This window comes from Homo sapiens, chromosome X (genome assembly GCF_000001405.40).
Source record: "Homo sapiens chromosome X, GRCh38.p14 Primary Assembly".
In the NCBI taxonomy this organism is placed as follows: Eukaryota; Metazoa; Chordata; class Mammalia; order Primates; family Hominidae; genus Homo; species Homo sapiens.
This window is the reverse complement of record NC_000023.11, coordinates 66073767-66091310: the sequence shown is the minus strand read 5'-3', so window position 1 is coordinate 66091310 and position 17544 is coordinate 66073767. Positions and strand designations below refer to the sequence as shown.

At 37.4% G+C, this 17544-nt stretch overlaps 1 pseudogene; it reads left to right on the top strand.

Moving 5' to 3' along the window:
• Positions 14948-16967, top strand: EIF4BP9 (eukaryotic translation initiation factor 4B pseudogene 9; annotated as a pseudogene).

Sequence of the window (17544 nt, the reverse complement as noted above, 5' to 3'; positions counted from 1 at the left end):
AACCCAGCAGAAGAAAGGAAATAATTAAGATCAGAATAGAACTAAATGAAATTGAAACAAAATAAAACAATACAAAAGATAAATAAAAGAAAAAGCTGGTTCTTTGAAAAGATAAATAAAACTGATAGATCATAAGCAAAATTAACAAAGAAAAGAAGAGAGAAAATCCAAGTAACCTTAATACGAAATGAAATGGGAGATATTACAACTGACACCATAGAAATACAAAAGATCATTCAAGGCTGCTATGAACACCTTTATGCACATAAACTAGAAAACCTAGAAGAGATGGATAAATTCTTGGAAAGATACAACCCTCCTAGCTTAAATCAGGAAGAATTAGAAACCTTGAAGAGACCAAGGTTTGAAATGGTAATTTAAAAATTACCAACAACAAAAAATGTCTAGGACCAGAAGTATGCACACCAGAATTCTACCAAACATTCAAAGAATAATTGGTACCAATGCTATTGACACTATTCCACAAGATAGAGAAAGAGGGAACCCTCCGTATCATTCTATGAAGTCAGTATCAACCTAATGCCAAAACTAGGAAAGGACATAACCAAAAAAGAAAACTATAAACCAACATCCCTGATGAATATAGATGCTAAAATTTTTAACAAAATTCTAGCTAACCGTATCTAACAACATATCAAATGTATAATCCACCACGATCAAGTGGGTTTCATACCAGGGAAGCAGGGATGGTTTAACTTGAGTAAGTCAATAAATGTGATACACCACAGAAACAGAATGTTTTTAAAATTACATGATCATTTTAATAGTTGCAGAGAAAGCATTTGACAAAATCCAGCATTGCTTTATGATTAAAACTCTCAGCAAAATCGACATACAAGGGATATACTTCAATGTAATAAAAGCCATCTATGACAAACCCACAGAAAAGATGATAATGATGGGGAAAGATTGAAAGCATTTCCTCTGAGAACTGGAACAAGACAAGGATGCCCACTCTCACCACTCCTCTTCAACATAGTACTGGAAGTCCTAGCCAGAGCAATCAGACAAAAGAAAGAAAAAAATGGCATCCAAATCAGTAAAGAGGAAGTCAAACTGTTCCTGTTTGCTGAAGATATGATTGATTACCTAGAAAACCCTAAAGAATTCTCCAGAAAGCTCCTAGAACTGATCAAAGAATTCAGCAGTTTCCCAATACAAAATTAATGTACACAAATCAGTAGCTCTTCTATACACCAACAGTGACCAAGCAGAGAATCACATCAAGAACTCAACCCCTTTTACAATAGCTGTAAAACAAATAAAATACTTAGGAATATACCCAACTAAGGAGTTGAAAGTTCTCTGCAAGGAAAACTACAAAACACTGCTGAAAGAAATCACAAACAGACTGGGCACAGTGGTTCACGCCTGTAATCTCAACACTTTGGGAGGCCGAGGTGAGTGGATCACCTGTGGTCAGGAGTTCAAGACCAGCCTAACCAAAATTATGAAACCCCTTCTTTACTAAAAATACAAAAAATTAGCCAGGAGTGGTGGCAGGTGCCTGTAATCCCAGCTACTTGGGAGGCCGAGGCAGGAGAATCCCTTGAGCCTGGGAGGCGGATGTTGCAGTGAGCTGAGGTCAGGCCACTGCACTCCAGCCTGGGCAACAAGAGTGAAACTCCATCTCAAAAAAAAAAAAAAAAAAAAGAAAAAAGAAATCTCAAACAAATGGAAACACATCCCATGTGCATGAATGGATAGAATCAATATCATGAAAATGACCACGCTGCCAAAAGCAGTCTACAAATTCAATGCAATTCCCCTCAATATACCACCATCATTCTTCAAACAATTCTAAAATTCATATGGAAACAAAATAGAGCCAAAGCAAGACTAAGCAAAAAGAACAAATCTGAAGGCATTACATTACCTGATTTTAAACTATACTATAGGGCTATAGACACCAAAACAGTATGGTACTGGCATAAAAATAGGCACATAGCCCAACAAAACAGAACAGAGAACTCAGAAATAAACCCAAATACAGCCAGCTGGTCTTTGACAAAGCAAACAAAAATATAAAGTGGGGAAAGGACACCCTTTTCAACAAATGGTGCTGGGATAATTGGCTAGCCACATGTAAGATAATGAAACTGAGTCCTCTTCTCTAACTTTATACTCTTTCAACTCAAGATGGATTTAGGACTTAAATCTAAGACCTGAAACTATAAAAATTCTAGAAGATAACATTGGAAAAAACCTTATAAACATTGGCTTAGGCAAGGATTTTATGACCAAGAACCCAAAAGCAAATGCAATAAAAACAAAGATAAATAACTAGGACTTTATTAAACTAAAGTGCTTTTGTGTGGCAAAAGGAGCAGTCAGCAGAGTACACAGACAACCCACAGAGTGGGAGTCTTCACAATCTATACATCTGACAAAGTACTAATATCCAGAATCTACAATGAACTCAAACAAATCAGCAAGAAAAAACAAACAAATAATACCATCAAAAATGGGTTAAGGACATAAATAGAAAATTCTCAAAAGAAGATATACAAATAGCCAACAAACATATGAAAAAATGCTCAAAATCACTAATAATCAGGGAAATGCAAATCAAAACCACAATGTGATACTACCTTACTCTTGCAAGAATGGCCATAATAAAAAAATAAAAAAAAATAGATGTTGGCATGAATGCGGTGAACAGGGAACACTTCTACACTGCTGGTGGGAATGTAAACTAGTACAACCACCATGAAATATAATGTGGAGATTCCTTAAAGAACTAAAAGTAGAACTACCACTCAATCCAGCAATCCCACTACTGGGTATCTTCCCAGAGGAAAAAATGTCATTATATGAAAAGATACTTGTACATACATGTTTATAGCAGCACAATTTGCAATTGCAAAAACGTGGAACCAACCCAAATGCTCATCAATCAGCGAGTGAATAAAGAAACTGTGATATATATATATATATATATCACAGTATTCCATGTATATATATATATATATATATATATATATATATATATATATACATGGAATACTGTGATTTATATGTAATGGAATACTATATATATAATGGAATACTAATACTATATATATAATGGAATACTACTATATATATATAATGGAATACTATATATATATATATCTATATATATAATGGAATACTACATATATATATATGTATATGAGATGGAATACTACTCAGCCATAAAAAAGAATGAATTAATGGCATTTACAGCAACCTGGATGAGACTGGAGACTATTATTCTAAGTGAAGTAACTCAGGAATGGAAAACCAAACATCATATGTTCTCACTCATATGTGGGATCTAAGCTATGAGGATGCAAAAGCATAAAAATGACACAATGGATTTTGACGACTTTGGGGGAAAGGGTGGGAAGGGGGTGAGGGATAAAAGACTACAAATAGGGTACAGTATATACTGTTCGTGTGATGAGTGCACCAGAATCTCACAAATCACCACGAAAGATCTTACTTATGTAACCAAACACCATCTGTTCCTCAATAACCTATGGAAATTAAAAAAAAAAATGTAACTTCTTTGAGAAATCGCCAAACTGCTTTCCACAGTGGCTAAGCTAATTTACATTCCCACAAATAGTGCATAAGCATTCTTTTCTCTCCACAGCGTCACAAAGGCAAAATTTAAATGGTTAAACCATTTCACAATAATTCCTGTGAGAAAAGGTTATAACCTATAATTTACCTTAGAGGAGATAAGCATGCATTTGTTCTAACAAATGTTCATTAATATTCAAATTAAACTTGGGCTCGCCTGCCAATCTTTCAATGAAGTACAAATGTATTTTTAATTTTATGAGTTCTCTTTTGTAATTGACTTAACAAATTAAACTTTTCACATCCACAAGGAATAAAAGAGAGAGAGGGTGAAGTAGAAAGAAGTATTTTTCTTGAATTTTCATCAACATTGAATATAAGCCAAGATTTTCATTGACATTGACCATGAGCCAACCCTTCATGTTAATTCTGGACATCAGTCTGTTGTTGAATGTTAACCATTACATACATAGATATCATGTGGTTAATGATGCTCCAGTGGGTTCTGGTTGGTTTTATAGGTAAATCAGACCAAAAACTTTGTTAATAGCAAACTAGATGGCCTTCAGAGTTTCCTTCTAGCCAAATATTGGTGATACTTTCCCACTGTGGAATTTGGATTATATTAGATCATACTTAAAGTTAATTCTATATATGAAGTTTGTAGTTTATTAATCTGATACAAGATGTCTCTTTCCATGTCCTTCAAAGGAAGTATAGATATGTTAGTTTGATATACACCCACTGGCCTAGAGACTTAGTTGTTCTGTCAGCCTTCTATGAAGTATTTTTCTACCCCTTTGATTGTTAGTAAGGAATCTGCATTTGTATTATCTTGGTTTGCAAAGATTCTTATACTCTAAAGTTTAGAAGACTATTAGTCTGTATTTCCAAAATGTTACCGTGATACCTGTATGGACTATTGACTGATGGAAAGATTAAAAGGAGTTAAATTTTAAGTTTGGAATAATCAGAGTAATGGGATAATTCTTATGAAGAAAATTAAAAATGTTAACTCATAGAGGTCAATATATTATTAGATGTGTCTTCAAAATTCTACAGACATCTTTCTGTCTTGCTTCATTTTGACAATATGTAAATGTTGCTGGGAATATGCAACCTTAGCCTTGAAATAACAAACCTAAGACAAAAGTACTGCAAGCAACAGCAGCTATTAACATAGGTGCCAGTTCAGTCTTTCGAAGAGTTTTTATTCTTTCTTTTCTGTAAATTATTAATTATAGCTATTCTATAACATTCTTGGCTAGATATAAAATGATTATAATATATAGTCCCATGAAGGTCAAAAGAAAAATGTATTAATTATCATTGTGCTTAGTTGTATCTCTTATAACATTCCTCTTTATTGGTTTCCTTAAATACTGAGCATGATGTCCTTATTAAAGTGTTCTCTATGATTTGTTAGATTCTCCAGTTTGTATTGAGTTTGACAAGTGGAAATTATGTAGTAGACATGAATAGAAAAAGATGTATTTATTGATTCCGCGTATTTTCTGGCATATAGATGCCCCATCTATGCTCATGTCCCATAATTGTTCTCTTTCCAAGTTTATTCTTATCTTTTAGGTCAGAGCAGTTAGACAGCATGTATAAATTGTGTGTCAGAATAAAAAAGATAGCTGCCAAGGAAAGCCGAACATATCATCAGTTCAGTATATATTGTGTTTTCTTTTGTTTTTATACTTTTAAAATGATAACAGGCTAACTTGCTGTGGCACGATCATGATAGGTGCACCCTAGTTGCTGGCTGTTGGTTGCAGGTTACTTCTGTCTGTATCCTTAAGGTGGTTCCAGCGATGTCATTGAGAACTAATATAGGAAAAATACCAGTTATTCTAAGGCTCTAAGTAGCCTAATAGAACTTACACCTCCCCTGGGATTCTCCTAGAATAAATTGGAAGAAATCTCTCAGCTCCACCTTGCTAAAGCGCCATGGATCTTCCATAGAGGTTCTTTATGCAAAAGATTAGACTGGCCAGAGGGAACAAAACCATTTCACGTATGATTTCTGTTATAATTAGGAGCTCCCAGTTCCATCTTTACTGGCCTCTTGCAACTTAAGATTGTAGGGTTTTTGTTTTAAGTCCTTAGAAGACAGAATATCTTTTTTTTTTATTATACTTTAAGTTTTAGGGTACATGTGCACAATGTGCAGGTTAGTTACATATGTATACATGTGCCATGTTGGTGTGCTTCACCCAATAACTCGTTATTTAACATTAGGTATATCTCCTAATGCTATCCCTCCCCGCTCCCCCCACCCCACAACAGGCCCCGGTGTGTGATGTTCCCCTTCCTGTGTCCATGTGTTCTCATTGTTCAATTCCCACCTATGAGTGAAGAAGACAGAATATCTAATCATAAACAATTTTCTTGCAGGATGCTATCTAGGTATACCTCAGACAGGAACTCTTAAGTTATTGGCTTGACTCCTCAGACTTGATTAAACAACTTAGAACCAATAGATAATAATTAATGGCTGGTGTTTATTGAGTACTTACAATGTGCTGGATACTGTACTAAGTGCCTTACATGGATGATCTTATTTAATTTTCAGAAAGTATTTCTATTAGATAGGCTCTAATATTATTCTCATTTCACAAATGAGGGAGTTGAGTTACGGCAAGTTTAACTGTTTTGTACAAGGTCACATAGTTAATATATGATAGACTCAAAATTCAAACCCAGGTAGTAAAGTCATTGACTACAGAGCTTTGCCTCGCATTTGAGTCGGCCCTCCTTCCCACTTTTGATTTTTTTGTTAACTTTTAATTTTGATATAATTGAAATAGAACATTTATGAGAATTCTACAAAGGACTCCCATATAGCCTTTACCTAAATTCTCCAATTTTAACATTTATTTATCATTTTTTTCTCTCTCTCTCCATCCTCCGCTGACACATACAAACACTTCTTTATGAACTTTTTGAGAGTGAGTTGTAGACATGGTGCCTGTTTACCCCTAAATAGGTTAACGCGTGTTTTCTAATAACAATGACATATTCTTACATAACCACTGTACAATATCAAAATCAGGAAACTTAGCATTGACTTAATACTATGTCTTAATTCCTATTTCTAATCCCTATTTTCTAATTCCTAATCCACATTCAAATTTCAGCAATTTCAGCAATTGTCTCACTAATATTATAGCCACAACCACACCCTCTCCCCTGTTCTCAATCTAGGGTTCAAGTCAGGATCATACACAACATTTTGTTGTTATGTCTCTTAATTCTCTTTTAATATGGAAGAGTTCCTCAGCCTGTGTTTGTCTTCCATGACTGCAATATTTTTGAGGAGTACAGGCCAGTATGTTTTGTAGAGTGTTCCTCACTTTGAGTTTAGTGTGGTGTCATGGGTAGAATCAGACTGTATGTTTTTGACAGTAATATAAAGACATGATGCTGTGTTCTTGCTGCATAATATCAGAGGCACCCGATGTCAGTTTGTCTTATTACTGGTGATGTTAACTTTGATCATTTGTTTAAGGTGATGTATTCATAAGATATACTTATGGAATAAGATATATTCCAAGTTTATCCACTCTTACTATTTTTTCTTTGTAATTAATAATAGTAGGGAGATACTTTTGAGTCCATATAAATTACTCAAAATTTTACCCATTAATTTTAGTATGTATTGAGGACTCTTAACTGAATCATGTATTACTGTGATGGTTGTACAACAGTAATTTTCTAGTTACATCATTCTTCTGTGTTTTTATTTTGCGTTCTATTACAAGGAAGAGCTTTTCATTCTTCCCTGTTTATTTATTTATATCAGCATGGAATCATTGATTCTTATTTAACTCAAAGGGTTATAATTCATTACTAGACTGTACCCATTGATAGATATATCCTCATTATTTTGAGCATTTACTTTTGTCATAATAGGATGTTTCAGGCTCAATTTGTACTTTGCCTGCCCAGCCCTGGAATCAGGCATTATTCCCAAGAGGTTGGTTTTCCCATTTGCTCTTCAGTTTTATCTGACCCAGTGTATACTTGAAACACCAAGCTTTTAGAATGTCTTAATGTAGATACTCAGAAGCTAAAACATAGGGACAATTCCAACTTGTCACTAATTCTTCTAAACCTCCCATTTAAATGCACTGGGTCTTTTTCTTTTTCCACTTTGATGTTGAGCTCCTAAAATATTTATGTTTAGTGAAAACCTTTCTGACAAAGGATAATTAAATTTGGTTTTGTTTTTTACAACAAAGTTTTTTGGCCATTGCAACACTCAGGTAGCTAATGACAATAAAATGTGTGTCTCATTGCAGGTCATTACCAGTCACATCTGGGGCTTCAGCTTTCAAATGTGCTCATCAATATTTCCATATTCCAGCGGAGGAGATGCTGTAACATTCTGAGATAATATGGTGGAGGATGGGTAAAAAAAAAATTTACCATGCTTGTTGCTATTATTTCTCATACCATTGTTAAATATTCTCAATAGGAATCACATCAAATATGATCTGAGAAAGACCAGATGTATGAACAGGTACATAATCAAGTATCATTTCCTCTAACACTCCTATTTAGATGGAAATATTTAAAAATGATCATGCACTTGTTGAAGACAAAAATGAAAGTCTCCTTGACAGTGTCTTACCTATTTGAAAGATGAATCCAAAAACTTAGTTTCATCTATGAACCCAGAAGATGGAGACGATGGGTAAGCAGTCTTGTCGGCAATGTGTTGGTAATTTAATAGGGGTTACAGCTATGTTAAAATGTGAGGGCATGTCTTATTTTTAACTAAACAAATAATGCTTTCCTTCAATTACAAAAATAAATTTATTGGTACTCTGCCAGTATATTATGCATTTGAGTTTTTTTCTTAGTGGTGGCAATGCTACTGCTCTCTATATTCTTGTTCAGTTCCCTTTATGACCACCAAAACACACTTGCAAAATAACTAGTCTGACCTGTTATTTTGTGGCTAAAGAATAGAACGATGACAACCAGCCCATTAAAAATATATTCAGTAGTATGATGATTGAAGAAATAAGATATTGAAACAAAGCTTACTTAATATAAAATATATGTATAAAATTAACACTTTTGCAATAAACAATGACTAGTTAAAATTCTAGTGAAAATTCCTTTCCCCCAAACAACAAAAGTTTAAATTAGCAAATACTATAAATGTAATAAGAAATATAGAGTAACTATTTGGGGAAAAACGTTGGTCTGCAAATTTGAGATTTTCTATAATTGTTAAAGGAAATAGGAGAATAAACATGTATATCATTTTCAAGTGTATTTTATGGATGGCAGATATTTGGGTATCTTCTGAGGAGAGTTACCTGTTTAGACGTCTATGTCTCAGTGATGCCTATTTGGGTAGAAGGAAGGGCCAAGTGAAGAATCATTAAGTCTGGTCAGGGAGGTGGAAGTTTTAGAAGAGGAAATCTGAGAAGGAAATGGCTGGAGAAGACTTCCAGTGGAAGATCATTTAGGAGGCAGAATATTCTGAAATATATTTTGAGGGTATAAAGAGGAAACCTGAAGAGCTAGAATCTTTTGGGAGAGTTAATGTGTTTGAGGGAATGGTAATTACAGATGTAAGCAGGGATATCCTAAAGCCTGGGTACTATAAAGAGAACTAAGCCATTAAATCAATTGTATCTGGGAGCTGAGGTGTTTAAGAAGCAAGACAATGGGAAGGACATATTATTGGAGAAGGAGGTATGAATGGTAAACTTCTGTTCATGAATTAAATGTTTACAGGTATTGGCTGCTAAAGCCAACAGCATAAACGCCATCTACCTGGGTGTTGGCCCAGAAGAGTGGCATACATGTGTTGTCTTCATCACATCCATCAACTGAACAGAGGTGCAGAATGCTAGCAATAGGCACATCTGAAAAACAGTGCACCAGAAAAGCTTTCCTAAAGACACCAGAAAGAAGTTTGAGGATCTCAGACTTCATGACATCTAGAATGTTGTAATAAGTGTTATTTGTTTTTTAATTTTATTTTTATTGATACATCATAGAGGTATATATTTTTGGAGTACCTGTGGTAATTTAATAAACTCATATAACTTGTAAAGATCAAATCAGTGTAATTGGGATATCCATTATTTTAAATAGTTTTCTTTATGCTAAGAACATTTGAATTATTCTCTTCTATGTATTTTTTATTGTCATTCTTAGACAGAATTTTTTTTTTTTTTTTGAGACAGGGTCTCATTCTGTCACCCAGGCTGAAGTGCAGTGGCATGATCATAGCTCACTCTAGACTCAAACTCCTGGGCTCAAGTGATCCTCCCACCTCTGCTTCTCAAGTAGCTGGGAGTACAGGCGTGACCAACCCACCTCAGCCTCTTCCAGGTATTTTGAGATACACAAGGCCAGGTACAGTGGCTCACAATTGTAAGTACTCCCAGAGCTTTGGGAGGCTGAGGTGAGTGAATAACCTGAGCCCAGGAATTTGAGACCAGCCCAGGAAACATAGGTGAACCCCCAACTCTACAAAACATTTTTTCTTTAATTAGCCAGACACGGAGTACCTGTGGTCCCAGATACTCAGGATGCTGACGTAGGAGGATCGCTTAAACCTGGGAGGTTGAGGATACAGTGAGCCATGATTGTACCATTGCACTCCAGCCTGAGCTACAGAGCAAGACCCTGTATCTGGAAAATATAAAAGAAATACACAATAGATTATTGTAAACTACAGTAATAAATGATAATTAAACAACTACACATTAAATCTTAGAATCTAAATTAACAATTCAACTGTTAGAGAAGCTGTCCAGTTACATGTGTTTGACAGTTTTCTAAAATATAAATTCAAAAAGAATGTGGAAAAATGTGGTTATCTAAATTAATTATCCTATTGAAAACGAAAATTTATTTATTTATTTATTTTATTATACTTTAAGTTTTAGGGTACATGTGCACATTGTGCAGGTTAGTTACATATGTATACATGTGCCATGCTGGTGCGCTGCACCCACTAACTCGTCATCTAGCATTAGGTATATCTCCCAATGCTATCCCTCCCCCCTCCCCCCACCCCACCACAGTCCCCAGAGTGTGATATTCCCCTTCCTGTGTCCATGTGATCTCATTGTTCAATTCCCACCTATGAGTGAGAATATGCGGTGTTTGGTTTTTTGTTCTTGCGATAGTTTACTGAGAATGATGGTTTCCAATTTCATCCATGTCCCTACAAAGGACATGAACTCATCATTTTTTATGGCTGCATAGTATTCCATGGTGTATATGTGCCACATTTTCTTAATCCAGTCTATCGTTGTTGGACATTTGGGTTGGTTCCAAATCTTTGCTATTGTGAATAATGCCGCAATAAACATACGTGTGCATGTGTCTTTATAGCAGCATGATTTATAGTCGTTTGGGTATATACCCAGTAATGGGATGGCTGGGTCAAATGGTATTTCTAGTTCTAGATCCCTGAGGAATCGCCACACTGACTTCCACAATGGTTGAACTAGTTTACAGTCCCACCAACAGTGTAAAAGTGTTCCTATTTCTCCACATCCTCTCCAGCACCTGTTGTTTCCTGACTTTTTAATGATTGCCATTCTAACTGGTGTGAGATGATATCTCATAGTGGTTTTGATTTGCATTTCTCTGATGGCCAGTGATGATGAGCATTTTTTCATGTGTTTTTTGGCTGCATAAATGTCTTCTTTTGAGAAGTGTCTGTTCATGTCCTTCGCCCACTTTTTGATGGGGTTGTTTGAAAAACGAAAATTTAATCCTATGATAAAATTAACCTCTGCTGTATCTGTATGCTATTTCAGTGGAAATTTTAAGCTACAGTTTAGCTTTTTTATTCTTCTTTTTTACAGAGCCCTCACACAATTTAAGTTCGTCAAAAATATGAGAAACAATCTGGGAATTATTTGAGTTCTCTTAAGACTTCCTCCTTTACCTGAAAAGCAAATCATTGTCCAATTCTACTTCTTTCCCAGTCGAAACTGAGGTGTCTGTTTAATCCCTGCACCACAGAATGGAAACATGGCCTGTGAGCTGTAAATCCTGACCCTTGAGGTACTATTACATTGCTGTGTTATTTGCTACATGCTATACAATCTCTCTAAATGATACATATATATTGATAAAAAGTCATGTATGTATATTTACATATATACACACATTATATATAGCTAAAATTTATATGTGTATATATAAACAACTTTATAGAGATAATAATTTATAGGCCGGGCAGGGTGGCTCACACCTGTAATCCCAGCACTTTGGGAGGCCAAGGCGGGCAGATCATTTGAGGTCAGGAGTTTGAGACTGGCCTGGCCAACACAGTGAAACCCCGTCTCTACTAAAAATACAAAAATTAGCCAAGTGTGGTGGCACATACCTGTAATTCCTGCTACTACAGAGTTTGAGGCAGGAAAATAGTTTGAACCCGGGAGGTGGAGGTTGCAGTGAGCCAAGAAGACACAACTGCACTCCAGCCTGGGCGACAGAGTAAAACTCTACATCCAAAAAAAAAAAAAAAAAAAAGGAGAGAAAGATAATTTATATATCATAAAATTTGTCCGATTTTAAGGGTAGAATTCAATTTGTAGTGGATTTACTGAATTGTGTCACCATCACCATAATCCCATCTTAGAAGATTTTCATCAATCTAATAAGACCCCTCAGGGCCATTTACTAATCTACTTGCTGTCTCTATAGATTTTACTCTTCTGGCCATTTCATATGAATGGAATAATACAAGTGGTCTTTTGTGTCTGGCGTATTTCACATAGCATAGTGTTTTCATCTATGCTGTGGCATAGATCATTACTTCAACTCTTTGTATTGCTGAATAATATTTCATTATATAGATATACTACATTTCACTTAACACATTAATCAGTTAATGGACACTTCTGTTATTTTCCAATTCTTTGCTATTATAAATGATGCTGCTATGAACATTCACAGGAAAATCTTTATGTGGAAATGTGTTTGCAATTATTTTGCATAGATACCAAAAATGGAATTGCTGGAAGTAATTGGAATTGAGTGGAAAACATTATGCTTAACTTTTTAAGAAATAGCTAAACTATTTTCCAAAGTGGATATACCATTTCACATTTATTTATTTCAGCAACGTATAGGGGTTCCTATTTTTTTCACATCCTCACCAACACTTGTCTGTCTCTTTTGTAATAGCTATTCCAGGTGTGATGTCTTTTTTTTTCATTAAATTGAAGTGATAGAATTGTTGTCCTGTGAGAATGTTTGGATGTTGTATTATATAATATTCAAATAAAATGAAAGGAGAATTTGTGGGCACACTATTCGTTAGTTGACCTAAACACTGCAAATCATCTGTTGATATTATGTAACTAATAGATATGCTACAGCCCATATAATTTGAGCTCTTGCAACATGTAGGATTAATATTTTCCTGTGTTGATTATTTCTCAGGAAATACCCCAAAATATCAATTCAGGATGTACCTATGAGTGAAGATTCACTGGCCATTGGTTTGGATTTAGTGGTACCAGATTTCCAAGAACTAATGATCCAGGAATTATTTGGAGAGGCAACTATAAATATTTCTTTGGAGTTGGTGTTTTCTCCTTTCCATGTCAATGCTCCAATCTTGATTGAAGACAAACCAGATACTCAATGTAATGTTATAATGAACAGGTACAAAATCTCTTTCTTCTTTAAACTAGGGGGTTCTCCACATGTTTTTAAAGAGAATGCTTACTTTGTAATTTTTTTCATAATCTGGAAATCACTTTGGATAGAGTGGAAGAAAGGCAGGAATATATCAACAGAAGCTTGCAGAGACTTTGAAGGGTACCTCTGCACACTCTTTCACTTTCCTTTCTGATAAACCAAGAAACACTATTTACGATGGTGATTGGGATTTGGAAATCCAAGTATATAGCTAGTGAACCTCAAATCTAGCTGAGAAGTAGCATAATTCTATCATACATCCCTGATTGTACATTTGAATATTGATTCAATGTTTACTTTGAAACCTTAACCAATCAGACATTTTTTAGGAGAAAACTAAATTATGATCAATATCTTATACCGGGTCTTAGGTCTGATGTATGATTTGTGTTTCTGAAGAAATCTGTATATTTTCAGGCATATTCTTCTGAGGTTAGAAAATTACTTGTGGCCAGGTGCAGTAGCTCATGCCTGTTATCCCAGCAGTTTGGGAGGCCAAGGCAGGAGGATTGCTTGAGTTCAGGAGTTTGAGACCAGCCTGAGCATAACAAAATGCTGTCTCTACTAAAAACACAAAAATTAGCTGGTCATGGTGGTGTGCATGTGTAGTCCCAGCTACCCAGGAGGCTGAGGTGGGAGGATTGCTTGAGCCCAGGGAGGTAAAGGCTGCAGTGAGCTGTGATTGTGCCACTGCACTCCAGCCTGGATGACAGAGTGAGACCCTATTGGGAAGGGAAGGGAAGGGGAGGGGAGGGGAGGGGAGAGAAGGAGAGAAGGGAAGGAGGGAAGGGAAGGAGGGGAGGGAAGGAGGGAAGGGAAGGAGGGAGGGGAAGGAGGGAAGGGAAGGAGGGAAGGGAAGGGAAGAATGGAAGGGAAGGAGGGGAGGGAAGGGAAGAAGGGAAAAGAAGGGGAGGGAAGGGAAGAAGGGAAGGGAAGAAGGGAAGGGAAGAAGGGAAGGGAAGGGAAGAAGGGAAGGGAAGGGAAGAAGGGAAGGGAAGGGAAGGGAAGAAGGGAAGGGAAGGGAAGAAGGGAAGGAAAGGGAAGAAGGGAAGGAAAGAAGGGAAGGGAAGGAAGGGAAAAAGGGAAGGGAAGAGAAAAAGGGAAGGGAAGGGTTCTTCTTAGTCCAAAGTATAATATAATATTATAGTGAGGGGAACAAAACATAATTAAGGAAACATTTTCCCTGTACTTGCACTCCCACGTATTATCATTGGTTCTCATATACCACAGATGCACTCTTTGACAATATATTTGGTATTTGTTCTTTTGCGATCTTCTAAAAATGAAAGCCAGGCATTGGTAGTGTAAAATCCCCCCCTCCCCATCTTATATCTGAAATTAACTCTGTAAGTAGGGTGAAACCTCTTGCTTGGCACAAAACTATAGGAAGAAAAAAAAAGTCTTCATTTCCCGAAACTAGGAGGTTGTGGGTGCTTCAGCAGAAATACTACTAAATTGGAGCCACAAAGTCACTATTGTCAGCAAATCTCTACCCATGAAAACCTTGAGTACCATGTGGAGGAAGGGAGTCTGCCTGAATTTCACCTTCATCAGCAGTGCTTACATTTGTCTGTTTACATGCTTTATCATTTTATATTTGTGTTATTCCCTGCTACTGACCCTCATTTATTGCCCAACCCCAGTGAGAAAAGCTTCCTGAGAAACACACCCAAAACTCTTTCCCTCTCCCAACATGGTGGCCTCAGCAAAAAAGAAGAAGAAGGAGAAGACTCTCCCTAACATACTTTCTGGCTGAGGATGGGAGGATTGGTGGAGGAAGCACCTATGTTTCCAAACCAGTACCCTGGGCTGATGAAACAGATGACCTGGAAGGAGATGTTTCAACAACTTGGCACAGTAATGATGATGAAGTGTATAGGGTGCCTCCAATTGACCGTTCCATCCTTCCCACTGCTCCACGGGCTGCTCGGGAACCCAATATCGACCGTCTTCCCAAATCACCACCCTACACTGCTTTTCTAGGGAACCTATCCTATGATATGACAGAAGAGTCAATTAAGGAACTCTTTCGAGGATTAAATATCAGTGCAGTGCGTTTGTCACGTAAACCCAGCAATCCAGAGAGGTTGAAAGGTTTTGATTATGCTGAAATTGAGGACCTAGATTTCCTGCTCAGTTCCATGAGTCTCAATGAAGAGTCTCTAGGTAACAGGAAAATTCAAGTGGACGTTGCTGATCAAGCACAGGGGAAAGACAGGGAGGATCGTTCTTTTGGCCATGATAGAAATCGGGATTCTGACAAAACAGATACAGACTGGAGGGCTCGTCCTGCCACAGACAGCTTTGATGACTAAGAAGTGATGATAGCTTTGGAGACAAGTATCGAGATAGTTATGATTCAGACCGGTATCACGATGGGTATCAGGATGGGTATTGGGATGGCCCACACTGGGATATGGATTGATGTGGCAGCCGGGATCGCTATGATGACCAAGGCAGCAGAGACTATGATAGACGCTATGATTCCCGGATAGGCAGTGGCAGAAGGGCATTTGGCAGTGGGTGCCACAGGGATGATGACTATAGAGGAGGCGGGACTGGCTATGAAGACCAATAAGACAGACAGGATGATCGGTCATGGAGCTCCAGAGATGATTACTCTCGGGATGATTATATGGGTGATGATAGAGGTCCCTCCCAAAGACCCAAACTGAATCTAAAGCCTCGGAGTGCTCCTAAGGAGATGATTCCACTGCTAGTACCTCCCAGTCCAGTAGAGATGCTTCTGTCTTTGGAGGGGCAAAGCCCGTTGACACAGCTGCTAGAGAAAGAGAAGTAGAAGAACAGCTACAGAAGGAACACGAGAAGTTGCAGCTTCAGCTGGATGAGCCAAAACTAGAACGACGGCCTCGGGAGAGACACCCAAGCTGACAAAGTGAAGAAACTCAGGAACGGGAACAGTTGAGGACAGGAAGTGAGTCATTGCAGACTGGGACCTCCGCCACATCCGGCAGAAATGCACGAAGGAGAGTGAGTGAGAAGTCACTAGAAAATGAAACACTCAATAAGGAGGAAGACTGTCACTCTCCAACTTCTAAACCTCCCAAACCTGATCAGTCCCTAAAGGTAATGCCAGCCCCTCCACCAAAGGAGAATGGTTGGGTGAAGTGAAGTTCTAACCCTCCTGCTCAATCTCAGAGCTCAGACACAGAGCAGCAATCCCCTACAATTGGTGGGGTAAAGTAGCTCCAGCTCAACCATCTGAGTAAGGACTAGCAAGGAAAGACGAAAATGAAGGAGATGGGATGAATATCCCAAAAGGCCAAACTGGGAACTCTAGCCATGGTCCAGGAGAGGGAGGGAACAAAGACCACTGGAAGGAGTCAGATAGGAAAGATGACAAAAAGGATAAAGACTCCAGATCTGCACCTGAGCCAAAGAAACCTGAGGAAAATCCAGCTTCCAAGTTCAGTTCTGCAAGGAAGTATGCTGCTCTCTCCATTGATGGTGAAGATGAAAATGAGGGAGAAGATTAAGCCACAGAGACCTCAACATCCTGTGCTTTCTCCTAGTTTCTCTCCACCCTGGAACATTCGAGAGCAAATCAAACCTCTATCCAGACAAGACAAAATAAAACTCACCATCTCCTGGAGACCTTTCTTACCTAATTTTTTTTAAAGGAAATTCTTATTCATGCTGCTGCAGCCTTTAAAGTACTGAAGTAACTGGAGAATCACCAATATAGCCAGAGAGAAAGAGACTAGAGATTTTTAGTGGAAAAGTTGTGGTGCATTATGTCACCATGCAGTTGCCAGTGTGATTAGTGCCTAGGGGCCTCAATTTAGCAGAAATGGTAAAGACAGTGATATAACATTTGGAGTCTGATTGGGCAGTAGAGGAGGGAGGTATAAGGGAAAGTGTGAGATTTCTACTGTTTCGTTTCTATCCTATTGTGGCATATATGAATTCTCAAACATTATCTGAATAAATTTTCCACTCTTGGAAAGGTAGATTTAGCCTCAAGTTGTTTTAGTCTCCAGCAGGCTGCCAGCAGCTCCTCCTATTTAATCCTGACTTTGGAGGCCAGCCTAGGGGGAATTCCCTCATTTTTTTTTTTTTTTTTTTTTTTTTTTTTACCACCCAGGAGTTGGGAGTGAGTCTATAGGCCATAACGAATAGGACTGCATTCGACCAAAATAAATGGGAAAATCGTGGTTTGAAAAGAAGCTTTTGGGAGGTGATGAGTCATTTTGCACCAGGTAATAGGGAAAAATTGTGTGACCTCCAGCAAACACATGAATGGTTATTTCC